The sequence below is a fragment of the Homo sapiens genome, chromosome 19 (genome assembly GCF_000001405.40).
Source record: "Homo sapiens chromosome 19, GRCh38.p14 Primary Assembly".
In the NCBI taxonomy this organism is placed as follows: domain Eukaryota; kingdom Metazoa; phylum Chordata; class Mammalia; order Primates; family Hominidae; genus Homo; species Homo sapiens.
In genome coordinates this window covers 46,647,551-46,663,988 of record NC_000019.10, presented here as the reverse complement: position 1 = coordinate 46,663,988, position 16,438 = coordinate 46,647,551, and the positions used below count along the sequence as shown (strand labels likewise).

The 16,438-nt window shown below is 54.0% G+C and overlaps 1 protein-coding gene and 1 long non-coding RNA gene across 7 annotated transcripts in view, besides 4 other annotated features; one reads left to right on the top strand and one right to left on the bottom strand.

Annotated features, from left to right (window-relative positions):
• Positions 1-3,625, bottom strand: part of DACT3-AS1 (DACT3 antisense RNA 1) — a 17,093-nt gene extending 13,468 nt beyond the window's left edge. The window contains exon 1 of one of the 2 annotated variants that reach the window (NR_040042.1): positions 3,581-3,625. This is a non-coding gene — a long non-coding RNA (DACT3 antisense RNA 1). Of the gene's footprint in view, positions 1-1,551; positions 2,512-3,580 lie in introns of those variants that run through there. The other variant, NR_040041.1, reaches the window with a different exon arrangement.
• Positions 2,430-2,549: a silencer, noted in NCBI's record as "silent region_10821". NCBI's record gives its function as "represses an Ori minimal core promoter by ATAC-STARR-seq in GM12878 lymphoblastoid cells {active_cell/tissue: GM12878}" and the evidence as "EXISTENCE:reporter gene assay evidence [ECO:0000049][PMID:35858748]".
• Positions 2,760-3,009: a silencer, noted in NCBI's record as "silent region_10820". NCBI's record gives its function as "represses an Ori minimal core promoter by ATAC-STARR-seq in GM12878 lymphoblastoid cells {active_cell/tissue: GM12878}" and the evidence as "EXISTENCE:reporter gene assay evidence [ECO:0000049][PMID:35858748]".
• DACT3 (dishevelled binding antagonist of beta catenin 3) lies at positions 2,807-16,438 on the top strand. 5 transcript variants are annotated; one of them, NM_145056.3, is made up of 4 exons: positions 2,807-3,173; positions 10,914-11,010; positions 11,177-11,329; positions 14,117-16,438. In NM_145056.3, exons 1-4 carry the CDS (start codon positions 2,925-2,927, stop codon positions 15,505-15,507), a joined length of 1,890 nt encoding a protein of 629 aa, NP_659493.2. In that variant the 5' UTR covers positions 2,807-2,924; the 3' UTR covers positions 15,508-16,438. The 5 variants fall into 5 exon arrangements, with proteins under 5 accessions (NP_659493.2, XP_011524801.1, XP_016881823.1 ...); XM_011526499.3 differs by lacking the exon at positions 2,807-3,173 and adding an exon at positions 4,309-5,026; XM_017026334.2 differs by lacking the exon at positions 2,807-3,173 and adding an exon at positions 5,039-5,224.
• Positions 8,731-9,457: an enhancer, noted in NCBI's record as "H3K4me1 hESC enhancer chr19:47157789-47158515 (GRCh37/hg19 assembly coordinates)". NCBI's record gives its function as "activates a minimal SCP1, AML or CMV promoter by ChIP-STARR-seq in naive H9 embryonic stem cells {active_cell/tissue: H9 hESC(naive)}" and the evidence as "EXISTENCE:reporter gene assay evidence [ECO:0000049][PMID:30033119]".
• Positions 15,491-15,540: a silencer, noted in NCBI's record as "silent region_10819". NCBI's record gives its function as "represses an Ori minimal core promoter by ATAC-STARR-seq in GM12878 lymphoblastoid cells {active_cell/tissue: GM12878}" and the evidence as "EXISTENCE:reporter gene assay evidence [ECO:0000049][PMID:35858748]".

The window sequence follows — 16,438 nt, the reverse complement described above, 5'->3', positions numbered from 1 at the left end:
AAGTAGCTGGGATTACAGGCGTGCACCACCACACCCAGCTAATTTTTATATTTTTAGTAGAGACGGGGTTTCGCCATGTTGGCCAGGCTGGTCTTGAACTCCTGACCTCAAATGATCTGCCTGCCTCTGCGTCCCAAAGTGCTGGGATTACAGGCATGAGCCACCCCACCCGGCCTCATTTGCATTCTCTTTGACTGATCTTTGATTACATGCTTCTCAGATCACAATTCTCCAGCTGTAACTTCTGTCTCTTCCCAAATGACACATCTCCCCTCCCTATTCTACCTTCCAGCCTGCAAGATCCACAATGCCCCTGGCTTACTTTTGCAAAAGTGTTTACTCAGTCTTACAACTGCAATTAGGATTGTCAGTTTTGTTCCCCTTTCTCAGCACAAATCACTACTCCCAGGGCCCCATCCCCTTCACTCGCACCACCAAAGCCTTTGGATGGAGCACTGTGCCCTACACGCCTTCCTCAAAGGCCTCTCCCAACGCACCACTCGATTTTTATGGGAACCTCTTCCCATCCCTACCATCTATAAATCAAGGTCTATGAGCTTCTGCAACTTCATTAACAGCCCCTGCATGGGACTCAGTCTCTGTAATCACAATTTTTTTTTTTTTTTTTAAAGATTGGGTCTTGCTCTGTCACCCAGGCTGGAGTGCAATGGTGCAATCATGGCTCACTGTAGCCTCAGCCTCCCAGGCTCAAGTGATCCTCCTGCCTCAGCCTCCTGAGTAGCTCGCACTACAGGTACATGCCACCATATCCAGTTTGTGTGCCATGTTTGGAAGCAACTGTTGCTTGTTGATTCTCCAGACATCTATCTTTCTTTCTCTCTCTCTTTCTTTTTCTTTCTTTCTTTCTCTCTCTCTCTCTCTCAATTTCTTTCTTTCTTTCTTTTTTTGAGACGGAGTCTCCCTCTGTTACCCAGGCTGGAGTGCAGTGCCACAGTCTCGGTGTGTGCCATCATGCCCAGCTAATTTTTGTATTTTTAGTACAGATGGGGTTTCGCCATGTTGGCCAGGCTGATCTGAACTCCTGAACTCAGGTGATCTGCCCGCCTCAGCCTCCCAAAGTACTGGGATTACAGACGTGAGCCACTGCGCCTGGCTGATTCTCCAGAAATCTTTTGGCATCATCATTAATAAAAGCATCAAGAAGTCAAAAAGGAAATCAAGTGATCCTCCCGCCTCAGCCTCCCAAGTAGCTGGGGCTACAGGTGTGCACCACCACACCCGACTAATTTTCTAAGTCTATTTTGAACAAGAGGAAGACTGAATAAAGGTTGTCTCTAATAAATTTCAAGACATTTCCCCCCGGAAACTTACTAGATTAGTTTTTAAACTTATTTGTCAAACCCTTCTGTGGCTCTTAATCCATGGAAGACACTGCTCCAAGTACCTAATACATTTCATTGAATCCTCAGAACAACTGTATGAGGCAGCCAGTATTATGATCCCGTGATCAGATGAAGAAACGGTGGCACAGAGAGGTTAAGTAAGTTTTCCAAGGTCACACAGCTGGAAAGTGACAGATCTGTGACTCACCCCGAGGAAGTCTGGCTCCTGGAGACTTTGCTGTCTATCGCCACTATCAATTTCTCTCCATCTCACCACCAGAAGGTCACTTCGTGCACGGGGAATCATAAAAGAGGGAATTTCTTGTATGATCTTCTGGGCCTTGGCTTTTAGGGAGCCAAGGTCTGTCTGAGAGATGAGTATGAATATTAGAGCTAGGTCTTGGAAGTTGGTAGAGGCAGGCTCGGCGTAGTGATACAGATTGGCCGCCTGAGGGTGCCCCAGCCCTGCTTGCGGAGCCTGGAGAGACAGCAGGAAGCCTTGGAAACGAATGTCAGGCTCAGACTCCTAGGACCAGAGAACGTTGAGAATAGAGCATCATAGAAGGCTGAGAACAAAGCCCCTTAGAACGTAGAACAAAGGCCCCTGGAATGGAAGAATGATGAGCACACATCCTCCTAGCACCTGGGAGACAAAAGCTGCTTAGACTCTCTTCTGGTCAAAGCATAGAATCTTCCACCCAGGGTCTTATAATTCCAGAATTTGGAATGCAATCGATCTTAGACTCTTAGCAGCAAGACCGGCTACATATTTGGCCTAGTGCAAAGTGAAAATAAGGGGCCCCTTGCTCAAAAACTAAAAATTTCAAGACAGAAATTGCAGAACATTCAACCAAGCGCGAAGACCCTTCTAAGTGGATTCCAAGCCGGTGAAGCCGGCCCTAAGTAGAAACAATTTCATCGGAGGACGTCCGTCTGGTTTTACAGCTGAGTGTCTGGGAAGGCTTCTTGGAAGAGGAGGCGAAGTCAGGGCTCGACCCCCTAACCCTTTTCTCCCCCTGCGCAGCCTCAGAAGCTGAAGGTTGGGCGGGGTGGAGGGGTAGGAGCAGCTGCCAAACTGTCACGTGTACCCATTCCCTATTTATAGATCACCCTTCCCCTCGCGCCGGACAGTCCAATGGTAGCCAGCGCTCGCCCGCAAGAGGGTGGAACCTGCTGCAGGACCGGCCAGGCACAGACCAATGGCATTGAAGCAAGGGCGGGCTTGTTTCATTGTGACGCGTGGGGGGGCGTGGCCAGGGCCCCGAGGCAGTTGCACGGAGGGGGCGTGGCGAGCGGAGTGAGTAGGCAGTTGCGAGCATGCGTCGTGTTGGGCGGTGCGGTTGCACGCCCGAGAGTCTTCGTCAGGAAGCTTATTCGCCAATAGGCGGCTGTTGCTCGGTCGCCGGGGGCGTGGCCATGCAGATAAGGCGCGGGTGGGCGGCCCAATGGGCGGGCGCCTATGCAGATGAGACGGTGACAGCCCGGCCAGCGGGCGGGCGGGCAGGCTGCTGGGGCGGGGAGGTGGGACCGGGAGAGGGGTGGCCGCGGGGCCCGGCCGGGCTGGGGCGGGGGGCCGCAGCCATGATCCGGGCCTTCTCGTTCCCGGTGAGCCCTGAGCGGGGCCGGCTGCGGGGCTGGCTGGAGGGTAGCCTGGCCGGGCTCTGCGAGTTACATTGGCTCCGGGAGAGGCAGGAGTACCGCGTGCAGCAGGCGCTGCGGCTGGCCCAGCCCGGAATGGGGGGCGCCGAGGCCGAGGACGAGGAGGACGCCGATGAGGATGAAGATGCGGCGGCGGCGCGCCGGGCCGCAGCGGCCCTGGAGGAGCAGCTGGTAAGGGGCTGCCTGTCCGTCCGTCCCTCCACCCCCGTCTGTGTCTGTCTGTCTCGGTTGGATGCTCAGACACCGGGCGGGGGTTGGGGACCCGGGTAGGCAGGGAGTGAGAAAGGACAGGGGGTGGGGCTGGCGACCCCGGAGTTCCGGCGGCGGGCCGGACCTGGCCTCCCCGCCCCCAAATCGGGGGAGGGGGAACTGCATCGCCCCCACTGGGGCCTCGTGAGAAACACAGGCCCTGTCTCTTACACCCCTTCCCCAAAGAAAATCCTTGTGGGCGCCAAGTATGTGTCAAACCCGAGACCGGGTACTTTGCAGGCGTTGTCTTCTTGCGGCTTGGGAAACGGGGTGATAGTCCCCATTTAACAGAGAAACAAATTGAGGCTCAGAGAGAGCAAGCGACTCACCCAAGGTGACACAGCCAGGCTCCAAACATGCCCTTCTCTGGGCCCCGCCACCAGGGCTCCATCTTCCCTAAGTCCTGGTGTGCTTGGAGATCTCTGGAGGGGGCGGGGTGGGAGGAGGGGAATCTCAGGGCCTCCAGAGGGAGGGACCACTGCTGAGAGGAAGCTCACAGTCCCTGAGGACCCCCCACTGGGATCTTGACCCTTTGGTGACACTTCCCCTGCTTCCTACCTGGCCCCAGCTCTCCTTGACCCAAGGGGAGGCAGGTCGAGGCAGCGCCTGGGGGAGACTTCTGGACTCTGGGTGTTCTCATGGTGGAAGATGGGCAGAGGTCTCCGGAATGACTTGAGGACGCCCCATGCCTCTCCCCTTTCTATGTCATTCCTTGAGTCTCCCGATCTCGTCCTGGGTTCTGTCACTCTCTCCGTCCTGCCACATCCCTGTGACTTTCTGTGTCTGCTTCTCTTTCTTCATCCTGTCTCTCTGTCTCTGTGATCTCTGTGTCCCTCTGCATCTGTCTCCTTGGCCTTCCCTTCCTGCCTGTCTGCACCTCGCTCTCTTCTTCTTGCCCGACGTCCCAGGCTCAGTCTGTCTTCCCCTCCCCCCAGCCCGCACACCCTGGCTCCACGGCAGATCCCCATCCCCAAGCCTGTGTGTGGCCAGAGCTTCCCGTTTCGGGAAACCTGAGCCGAGGTGGCAGTGGAGGGGGCTCTCCCCGCCGCTGACCTCGACCGCCCCCTCCCCAGATGGGGAGTGGGGAGGAAGACTGAAGCCAGGCTCCCGGGGCTGCACGCCCGGCCCCTCCCCCTCTCAGGAGTGGGACCCCCCTGCACATTCTTTTCTGGAAACAGAAACAGCTGTGGGAGGCCCCACCCCCTCCCAAAGTTAGAGACGGATTGTGGGGGCCTTCGCTAGCTCCCCCCACCCCAAGCTGGCTCGGCTTGGAAGGCGCCTTCCATCCTGACAAGGAGAATGCGAGGCATGAGGTTGGGGTAGCTGTGGGTAGCTGTGTCCTCTCCCCCTCTGCCCTCGGTCTCTCCCCTTTTCACCCTTCACCTTCCCCATCTCTGCCCTTCAGTCTCCCTCTCCTCGGTCCCTCTGTCCCCTCCTCCCCCTCAGCCCTCTGTCCTCCCGGCACGAGCTGATAGTGGAGAGGCCTGTCCCCCCACCCCCCAGTCTCTAGGCAAAGCTTGTCCCAGCATCAGGGAGGAGGCGGTGGCAGGCGGGGGGAGGAGGAGGAGCAGAGAAGCGCTAAATATAAACTTCTCTAGTGCTGGGGGTTCCTGGGTCCCTCTGAAGAGTGGATTAGGGCTTCTTCTGATCCCCCAACCCTTGTCTTATGACTTATCCCCCCACCCCCAGCCCCTGCCAGGAATACACTTCCTTCAAGGCAAGAAAGACTGAAGCCAGACTTGATTACTTTCTAATAGGAATGATGGGGATACCAGGTAAAGATCAGGGGTGTGGCAGAGAAGAGAGGCAGGAATCCTGGGTGAGGGCAGGGGCTCCCTGGGTCCTGCTTGCTCTCAAGAAGGAAAAAGGTTCCTTTCATCAAGAATAACTTAAGTTAGACTTGCAGAATGACTTCCTAATAGAGATAAATGGGCACTGGATACCAACGAGGGGCACGTGAGGGGAGAAACAAGGTAAGGGAAGTTTGGGCAAAGGGGTCTCCAGGGGTCCTAACCACACTCTTATTAAGCCTGCAGAGGAAGGATGAGGGGCACCGTGAGGAGGCAGAGAGCCAGACTCAGGCCAAGGACTTTCTAATCTTTTAAAGATTCATCCTTTTGCAACTGGAAGGAATGAGGCCAGACTTGCAAATAGAGGGGTGTAGACTTGGAATATTTTTGGGGGGCGTCTAGGTGCTGGAGAGGAGGAGGCATCTCCTGTCTGTCTCCCTAATTTCTGCTCTTCCTTGTAATGGAAGAACCGGAATTAGACTTGGCAGAACTTACCAAAAAGTCTATCCTTTCACGTTTATTTATGTATTTTTAAATGATATATTTATTTATTCATTTATTTTTGGAGACAAAGTCTCTCAGGCTGAAGTGCAGTGGCACGATCATAGCTCACTGCAGCCTCTAACTTGGCCTCAAGCAATCCTCCTGCCTCAGCCTCCCAAGAAGCTAGGACTACAGGTGCACACCGCCACATTTGGCTAATTTTTTTTTTTTTTTTAAAGATATGAGGTCTTGCTATGTTGTTCAGGCTGGTCTCCAACTCCTGGGCTCAAGCAATCCTTCTGTCTCAGCCTCTCAAAGCACTAGGATTGCAGGTGTGAGCTACTGTACCTGGCCTTTATTTATTTATTCATTGAGACAGAATCTTGCTCTGTCACCCAGGCCAGAGTGCAATGGCACAATCTCTGCTCACTGCAACCTCCACCTCCTAGGTTCAAGTGATTCTCGGCTCACTGCAACCTCCACCTCCTGGATTCAAGCAATTCTCCTGCCTCAGCCTCCCGAGTAGCTGGAATTACAGGCATGCACCATCACCCCTGGCTAATTTTTGTATTTTTAGTAGAGATGGGCTTTCACCATGTTGGCCAGGCTGGTCTTGAATTCCTGGCCTCAAGTGATCCTCCCGCCTCGGTCTCCCAAAGTTGTTGGGATTACAGGCGTGAGCCACTGCGCCCGACACCTACATTTATTTTTAATTAAACAATGGAAACATTTTCTATTTTCCTTATAAGAAATTCATAGCTTTCCTGTAATCATACAAACTGGCATTTATTATGTGTCAAAAGAAACTCATTGGCCGGGCGCGGTGGCTCACGCCTGTAATTCCAGCACTTTGGGAGGCCGAGGCAGGCAGATCACAAGGTCAGGAGATTGAGACCATCTTGGCTAACGTGGTGGAACCCCGTCTCTACTAAAAATACAAAAAATTAGCTGGGCGTGGTGGCGGGCACCTGTAGTCCCAGCTACTCGGGAGGCTGAGGCAGGAGAATGGCGTGAACCCGGGAGGCGGAGCTTGCAGTGAGCCGAGATTGTGCCACTGCACTCCAGCCTGGGCGACAGAGCAAGACTCCGTCTCAAAAAAAAAAAAAAAAAAAAAAAAAGAAACTCATTTAATCCTCACAATAACCTCCAGGAGATGGTGTCCTATGATGCCCAGTTATAGATAAGGAAACTGAAGCCCAGAGAGGTAAAGTCACCCACCCAAGGTCACACAGCTGGGGAGCAGCAGAGCTTAATGTGATGCCAAGTCACGCCTCCTTAAACACTTCCTTCCACCATCCAGTCCCCTCATTCCTCCCTGGATCCCCTAAATCCAACCTATCCCCTGAGGTCACCATCATTGTCACCTTAGTGTCACCTCCCAGACCTCTTCCAACATATCTCCTAACAGAAACTGTTTACATACCAAAAAACGTAGAGCTTTTGTCAAAGCTTTGCTTTTTACAAATTCTAGTTTCTTGGGTGAGGTCCCAGAGACTATGCCAGTCAAAGTGTGGCCTCCTAGCCAGCAGCACCACATGACATGGAACTTGTTAGCCATACAACTACTTGGGCGTGACTGCAGGCTGTAATCAAAAGCTCTGGGAATGGGACTCAGTCATTTGGGCTTTCACAAGCCCTCCAGGTAATTCTGAGTCACTCATACTATATATATTCTGCCCTTTTCTGTTTCTGCTCAATGCTATATCTTGGTAATGATTCTATATAGAAATTTGACTCATTCCGTTTTAACAGCTGTATAGTATTCCATTGTATACATTCATTCTTTCATCTAATATTTCTTTTTAAAAAATAGACAGCTGGGTGCAATGGCTCATGCCTGCAATCCCAGCACTTTAAGAGACCGAGGCGGGAGGACTGCTCAAGCCCAGGAGTTCGAGACAAGCCTATGCAACACAGGGAGACCCTGTCTCTACAAAAAAATACAAAGATTAGCGGGGGTGTGGTGGCATGTGCCTGTAGTCCCAGCTACTTGGGAGGCTGAGGTGGTAGGATCACCTGAGCCCAGGAGGTGAAGGCTGCAGTGAGCCGTGATCGTGCCACTGCAGTCCAGCCTGGTGAGACAGTGAGACCTTGTCTCAAAAATAAAATAAAAAAGACCAGGCACAGTGGCTCACGCATGCAATCCCAGCACTTTGGGAGGCTGAGGTGGGCGGATGACTTGTAGTCAGGAGTTCGAGACCAACCTGGCCAACATGATGAAACCCTGTCTCTACTAAAAACACAAAAATTAGCCAAGTGTGGTGGGACATGCTTGTCATCCCACCTGCTTGGGAGGCTGAGGCAAAAAAAAAAAATCACTTGAACCTGGGAGGTGGAGGCTGCACCACTGCACTCCAGCCTGAGCGGTAGAGCTAGATTCCATCTCAAAAATAAATAAATAAATAAATAAATAAATAAATAAATTTCATATATATACATATATGTGTATATACATGTGTGTATATATAGTGTATATATGTGTATATATATGTGTGTATATATATATGTGTGTTTGTGTATATATATATATATATATATAGAGAGAGAGAGAGAGAGAGAGAGACTGGGTCTCACTATGTCGCCTAGGCTGGTCTTGAACTCTCGGCCTCCAGCGATCCTCCCGCCTTGGCACTTCCAGAGTGCTGGGATGATAGGCATAAGCCACCACACCCAGCCCATTAAATATTTCCTGAGCACCCACTTTGTGCCAGGCACTGTTCTAGGCACTGGGTGGGGGTGCACCTGTGAGCTAAACAGACAAATCTCCGCGTTCCTAGGGCTGACATTCTAGTGAGAGATTCAACAAACAAATGATACCTTGATGTATACTTTTATTTTATTTTAGTTGTTTTTGGAGATGAAATCTTACTGTCGCCCAGGCTGGAGTGCAGTGGCGTGATCTCGGCTCACTGCAACCTCCGCCTCCCTGGTTCAAGCAATTCTCCTGCTTCAGCCTCTTGGGTAGCTGGGATTACAGGCACACACCACCACACCTGGCTATTTTTTGTATTTCTAGTAGAGACGGGGTTTCACCATGTTGGCCAGGCTGATCTTGAACTCCTGACCTCAAGTGATCCTCCCTGCCTTGGCCTCCCAAGGTGCTGGGATTACAGGCGTGAGCCACCGAGCCTGGCCTGATGTATAATTTTAAATCAAGAGGTCATTACTGATATGTAGAAAAAACCCGAAAAGCAGGGCAACGGGGTACACAATGACAGGGGAGCTATTTTGGAAAGGTGTCAGAGAAGAGATCACCAAAGATCTGAATGAAGCAAGGAAGGTATGTGGGGGAAACATTCTCCCGAGGTAGGCGCATACATGGTATGTTCGAGGGACGGTGGCAAGGCCAGGCGTGGCTAGAGGGGAGTGAGCATGCCAGTGATTTGTGACGGACGTGACATGGGGTACATGGTAGGTCCGAGAGATTTTTTTTTAGTTACTTCCTGATGCTGCACAATTCAGCTGCTTTTTTGAGTTCCGCTCAAAGATGACTTCACTGTGAGCATCTCAATATACCCAGGGCAGGAGCCCAGAGTGGAAGGATTTGTTGACCTTCCTCAAATAAACAGGCCCGGATGGGGGCTTCTGTTCTAGGGGGATGGGAGAGGCTGGGCCCTGGAGAGACTGGGATGGGGCGGGGGGGTTGTGGCTGCCGGGGAGCCGGCCAGTCTTTCTGCCCTAAATAGGCAGGGTTGGGTGCCTGCCCTCCCAAACCCTCCTCCCCACTTCCCTCCCTCCTGCGGTCCAGACAAGCCGCTTTTGTCTGAGGGTCAACCGTCAGCCCGAGGCTGCCTGCTGCTACCCGGCCTCACTCAGACCCATGTGAGACTTTTTCTGGCTCTGACCCTCTCTTTTCTAAAATGAGATTAAGTCCTAATGTCTTGGAGACCCCATCCGTGAGAAGTGCTCTTTTCCTGCAGCAAGAAGGATCCAGGGTAGACTCATGGAAATTTCTTTTTCTTTTTTCCTTTTTTTTTTTTTTTGTCAGTCTTGCTGTGTTGCTTAGGCTGGAGTGCAATGGTGTGATCTCGGCTCACTGCAACCTCTGCCTCCTGGGCTCAAGCAATCCTCCCGCCTCAGCCTCTCTAGTAGCTGGGACTACAGGCGCAAACCACCACGCCCCGCTAGTTTTTGTATTTTTAAGGGAGACAAGGTTTCACCATATTGGCCAGGCTGGTTCCAACTCCTGACCTCATGTGATCCGCCCGCCTCGGCCTCCCAAAATGCTGGGATTACAGGCGTGAGCCACTGCGCCCGGCCTGACTCCCCGAAATTTCTCATGGCGATGAGGAAAGGTAGACTCACTGGAGCTTCCTGGTGGGAGTGGACCAAAGGCAGAAGGAGGATGTGGTCTCTAGGGCAAAGGAACGTGCTGGGATGGCTGCTGCAGTACCAGTAAGGCTAGACTCACAGGACTGTCTAGGAGGCTTGGGAGGTTCTTTCTGAAGGGAGAGCAAAGACGTTTATGAGTCGTGGTCAGCCTATTTTACCCATATGGGGGAAAGAGGCAATCTGCAGCAGGAAGGACTTAAGGAAGACTCACAAAAGGACCTTCTCTTGGTGATAAGGGGCAATGGGCGTATCTGAGAAAGAAGGTCAAAGACGGGGAGAGGCTGGGCGCAGTGGCTCATGCCTGTAATCCCGGCACTTTGGGAGGCTGAGGCAGGTGGATCACCTGAGGTCAGGAGTTCAAGATCAGCCTGGGCAACATGGTGAAACCCTGCCTCTACTGAAAACACAAAAATTATCTGGGCGTGGTGGCGGGCGCCTGTAATCCCAGCTACTCAGGAGGCTGAGGTGGGTGAATTGCCTGATCCCGGGAGGTAGAGGCTGCAGTGAGCTGGGATCACGCCACTGCCCTCCAGCCTAGGCGACAGAGTGAGACCCTATCTCAAAATAAATAAATAAATAAATAAATAAATAAAAATAAAAAAAGAAAAACTTGGAGAAGAAGGCAGACCTATGACTAAGGGATCTGGGGGTCCTGGACACCACCTTTTAGCAGTAAACTGTCCTTACAGCAATCCTGAAGTTAGACTCAAAGAGGGACATTCTAATCAGGGTTGAGGGGCTCTGAGCACAGATTGGGGGTAGCAACTGATAAAGACAGGGCAAGAGATGGGGGTTTTCTGAGGCCTCATCACACCTAAGAGGGAATGAGATGGGGCTGCAGCATGAAGGACTGGAGTTGGAACGTCAGAAGGACTTTCTAATGGGGATGAAGGGACACAGATCTTGAGGGGGTCCTGGGACTGAGGTACTGCTTTTATCCTTTGAAGCGAGAGCCTCATTGTCAAAGTGAAACTCTGCCCATGAGCTCGTGGAATAGGGGACCAGTCGGCAGAGGACTGGGGGCCTTCTGACCATCCTTCTCTCCCTATGCCTTCAGGAGGCCCTGCCTGGTCTCGTCTGGGACCTGGGACAGCAGCTGGGAGACCTGAGCCTGGAGTCTGGGGGCCTGGAACAGGAGAGCGGGCGTAGCTCGGGTGAGCATGGATGGAGGGGTAGGGTTTGCCTGGGACGCCTCCATGTTCCCCGTATCCCTATTTCTGAGGCCCCCTGTGTCTCTCCCCACGCCATCTCCTCCTTTCCCCAGCTCTGGTTTTCCCACCCAAACCCCCTGAAGTCTCTCTGCTTCTCCTGGAAATTTAGGCTTCTATGAAGATCCCAGCTCTACAGGAGGTCCAGATTCACCACCCTCAACCTTCTGTGGGGACAGTGGCTTCTCTGGATCCAGCTCCTATGGTCGCCTGGGTCCCTCTGAGCCCCGGGGCATCTATGCCAGTGAGAGGCCCAAGTCCCTAGGTAAGGTGGGTGAGGGTGGGGCCCTGGGGCCAGGGAAAGGACAGTAGGAGGATGGTTGTGGGCACAGACTTCCGAATCGGGCCTGGATTCCAATTCCAGCTGTGACATTTCCTTTTCACATGGTTATGAGCAGGTCTCTTATTTCTGGGTCTCTGTTTTTCCATCTGTTAAAATGAAATATGGCTGGGTGCGGTGGCTCACGCCTGTAATCCCAGCACTTTGGGAGGTGGGCGGATCACTTGAGGCCAGGAGATTGAGACCAGCCTGGCCAACATAGTGAAACCCCGTCTATACAAAAATTAGTTGGGCGTGGTAGCGAACACCTGTAATTCCAGCTACTCGGGAGGCTGAGGTGGGAGGATCGCTTGAACCTGGGAGGTGGAGGTTGCAGTGAGCCAAGATTGTGCCACTGCCCTCCAGTCTGGGTGACAGAGCAAGACTCTGTCTCAAAATAAATAAATAAATAGGCTGGGCACAGTGGCTCATGCCTGTAATCCCAACACTTTGGGAGGCCAAAGCAGGTGGATCACCTGAGATCAGGAGTTCGAGACCAACCTGACCAATATGGTAAAATCCTGTCTCTACTAAAAATACAAAACTTAGCTAGGCGTGGTGATGTGTGCCTGTAGTCCCATCTACTCTGAAGACTGAAACAGGAGAATTGCTTGAGCCCTGGAGGTGGAGGTTGCAGTGAGCCAAGATGGAGCCACTGCACTCTAGCCAGGGTGACAGAGTGAGACTCCATCTCAAAAAATAAATAAATAAATATAAAATGGTATAATAACAGTGCCTCAATAGCCAGGCATTGTGGTGCATGCCTGTATCCCAGCTACTTGGGAGGCTGAGCCAGGAGGATTGCTTGAACCTGGGAGGCAGAGGTTGCAGTGAGCTGAGATGGTGTCACTGCGCTCCAGCCTGGGTGACAGAGCAAGACTCTGCCTCAAAAAGATAAAAATAAAACACCAACCACACACACACACACACACACACACACACACACACACACACACACACAAACAGTGCCTGCCCTAAGGGGATATTTTTGAATATTCAGTGAGCCTCTGCTCTAAGGCATTGGACTTGGTGCATGGCAGTCACTGGTAAACAGGAACTGCTGTCATTCATTCATACAAGTAAGTTTTTGAGCCCCCACTATGTGCTACCTAGCAGTATCCCAGGAGCAATGAACAAAATGAACAGTAATGAACAAAACAGGCAAATCCCTGCCCTCAGGAAACTGCCAGCCTAGTTGGAGGAATAGATAAAATACAGGATAAATGGCCAGGCGCGGTGGCTCATGCCTGTAATCCCAGCACTTTGGGAGGCCGAGACGGGCAGATCACGAGGTCTGGAGTTCCAGACCAGCCTGACCAACATGGTGAAACCCCGTCTCTACAAAAAATACAAAAATTAGCTGGGCGTGGTGGCGCGTGCCTGTAATCCCAGCTACTCAGGAGGCTGAGGCAGGAGAATCGCTTGAACCTGGGTGGCAGAGATTGCAGTGAGCTGAGATCATGCCACTGCACTCCAGCCTGGGTGACAGAGCGAGACTTCGTCTAAAAAATAAATAAATAAATAAATAAATAAATAAATAGATAAATAAATAAACCAGGATAAATAAGTAAAATATCTAGGGTACGAAATAATGCCATGTGCTATGACAAGAAATAAGCCGGGGAAAGGGACTCAGAAGTGTCCCTTTGAGTTTGGGGAGGGAAGTGCAATTTTAGAAAATATGGCTGGGGAGGGCTTCACTGAGACTGTAACATTTGAGTTGTGCCCTGAACTAAGTGGGGGAGTGGACCTAGCAGATATCCAGAAGGAAGAGCATTCCGGGCATCTGGAATCTGGAATGGGAAGCAGAAAGGCTCTGAGGCCAGAATGTGACTGGCGCCTGCTTTCAGGAGGCCAGTGTGGCTGGAGTCCTATAAGTAGAGGAGAAGGGTCAGCTCAGTGGTTCATGCCTGTAATCCCAGCACTTTAGGAGGCTGAGGCGGGAGGATTATTTGAGCCTGGGAGCTGGAGACTAGACTGGGCAACACAGTGAGACCCCATCCCTACAAAAAATAAAAAAATCAGCAGGGCATGGTGATGCGTTCCTGTAGTCCCAGCCGTTCAGGAAGATAAGGCGAGAGGATCCCTTGAGCCCAGGAGCTGGAAACTGCAGTGAGCTATGATTGCGCCACTGCACTCCAGCCTGGGTGACAGAGCAAGCAAGAACCTGTCTTAAAAAAAAAAGGCCAGGCGCAGTGGCTCACACCTGTAATCCCAGCACTTTGGGAGGCCGAGGCGGGAGGATCACGAGGTCAGGAGATCGAGACCATCCTGGCGAACACGGTGAAACCCCGTCTCTACTAAAAATACAAAAAAATTAGCCGGGCGTGGTGGCGGGCGCCTGTAGTCCCAGCCACTCAGGAGGAGAATGGCATGAACCCGGGAGGCGGAGCTTGCAGTGAGCCGAGATCGGGCTACTGCACTCCAGCCTGGGCGACAGAACGAGACTCCGTCTCAAAAAAAAAAAAAAAAAAAAAATAGGGGGTAAGATGTTGTGAGAGTTGGAGAGGCAGAGGCAGAGGCAGGACAAGTCACGCAGGGTCTTGTAGGACCCTGTAAAGATTTTATTATGAATTTTACAAGAAGGAAGGTGTGAGAGCAGGGTTTTTGCTGCGATGAGGATGGAAGGGAGGGAGGCAACCCGCCCCTTCCGGGCTGGATGAGAAATGGGAAAGGACTTTGAGAGCCCCTCCACTCTCTCTTTTTTTTTTTTTTTTGGCCTTCCTTCCCTAGGAGACGCCAGTCCCAGCGCTCCGGAGGTGGTGGGCGCGCGGGCAGCGGTGCCGCGGTCCTTCTCAGCGCCCTACCCGACGGCAGGGGGGTCCGCCGGCCCGGAGGCCTGCTCCTCGGCGGAGCGGCGGGCCCGCGCCGGGCCCTTTCTGACGCCCAGCCCCCTGCACGCCGTGGCGATGCGCAGCCCGCGGCCCTGCGGCCGCCCTCCCACCGACTCGCCCGACGCGGGGGGCGCAGGGCGGCCCCTGGACGGCTACATCTCGGCGCTCCTGCGCAGGCGCCGCCGCCGGGGGGCGGGCCAGCCCCGGACCAGTCCCGGGGGCGCGGACGGCGGCCCGCGGCGCCAGAACAGCGTGCGCCAGCGGCCGCCCGACGCGTCTCCGTCCCCCGGCAGCGCGCGACCCGCGCGGGAGCCCTCGTTGGAGCGCGTCGGGGGCCACCCCACCAGCCCTGCCGCCTTGAGCCGCGCCTGGGCGTCGTCGTGGGAGTCGGAGGCGGCACCCGAGCCCGCTGCGCCGCCCGCCGCCCCCTCACCCCCCGACAGCCCGGCTGAGGGCCGCTTGGTGAAGGCGCAGTACATCCCGGGCGCGCAGGCGGCCACCCGAGGCCTCCCTGGCCGCGCCGCCCGCCGCAAACCGCCGCCACTGACCCGCGGCCGCAGCGTGGAGCAGTCACCACCCCGGGAGCGTCCCCGGGCCGCCGGCCGCCGTGGACGCATGGCCGAGGCTTCGGGCCGCCGCGGCTCGCCCAGGGCCCGCAAGGCCTCGCGCTCCCAGTCTGAGACCAGCCTGCTGGGCCGCGCCTCCGCGGTCCCTTCGGGGCCCCCTAAGTACCCCACGGCGGAGCGGGAAGAGCCTCGGCCTCCACGGCCACGCCGCGGCCCAGCGCCCACGCTGGCGGCCCAGGCCGCAGGGTCCTGCCGTCGCTGGCGCTCCACTGCGGAGATCGACGCTGCCGATGGGCGCCGCGTGCGGCCCCGAGCCCCTGCGGCGCGTGTTCCCGGCCCCGGCCCGTCCCCGTCAGCTCCCCAGCGTCGTCTGCTTTACGGCTGCGCGGGCAGCGACTCCGAGTGCTCGGCTGGGCGCCTGGGGCCCCTGGGACGCCGGGGGCCTGCGGGAGGCGTCGGCGGGGGTTACGGGGAGAGCGAATCGAGCGCCAGCGAGGGAGAATCGCCTGCCTTCAGCTCTGCCTCCAGCGACTCAGACGGCAGCGGTGGCCTCGTGTGGCCGCAGCAGCTGGTGGCGGCCACCGCGGCCTCTGGGGGTGGAGCAGGTGCAGGGGCGCCCGCAGGCCCCGCCAAAGTCTTCGTGAAAATCAAAGCTTCCCACGCGCTCAAGAAAAAGATACTGCGTTTCCGTTCGGGTTCTCTCAAGGTCATGACTACAGTGTGAGTTTGGGGATTTGCTTGGGCTCCCCCTTCATGGCCTCTGCACCTCCACACTCCCAACCACTGACCCTTCCACATCTACCTTCCAAAGACCATCGTTTTCTCTGCTTCCAAAGACCCCCCTCACTCTCCCCACTCCTAACAGTCTTGGTTGAAAAGGCTCCCCCACCACCACCGAGAGGAATGGGGAGGAGCCCTGTTTGACCCAGTTCAGCTTCTAGCTTGGAAGCCCTTGGGCAAGACAGTTCCCCTTCTCTGGGCGTCACTTTCCTCATCTGTACAGTAAGTGTCCATGTATGCAAAAGGGGTAATTCGGTTTGAATTTCCCCGTTTTAGTTTAGAAGCCTAGTCTGTTTGTTCCCCTCCACCGCTCTCCCTCTCATTCCTGATGAGCCCTCTCATTCCTCCTTTCCTTGCCCAGCTATGGCCCCCTCTCATTCACAAAGTGCCCCCTCCATGTCCCTGGACCCTTAAGATATCCCCTTGGCACCCTGGTCAGAGACTCTGTGTCTGACTCAGGTGGTCCCTGCAGAGTGCCCTGGGAAGGGAAGGAGCACTGATTTGGGGGTTTTGAGGGTCAAGTAGGGGTTGGTAACACCTGGAAAGAAGGACTCTTTCACTTCGATCCCTGGACAATTATGGAGGATTCGGAGGTAGAAGAGGGGAAGGAAGATGGTTTCTATCTCATGACCCCCACTCCCTGTGAGAGGGAATGGGGGAAGCCTGATGACCCTCAGCTGTTCCAATCTAGTATTTTTTTTCTTTTTTAAAATTACTGTATTTATTATGACGATGGTGACTCCCCAGTGCAAAGGGGGGCCAGATTCTGTGTGTTTCTCTAACCTCTTTGTAAATAAATGCACAGTGTAACATATGTGGTGGACTCTCACTGAATGATTAAATGGGAGAAATGCTCTTTTTCCTTTGGACTAACA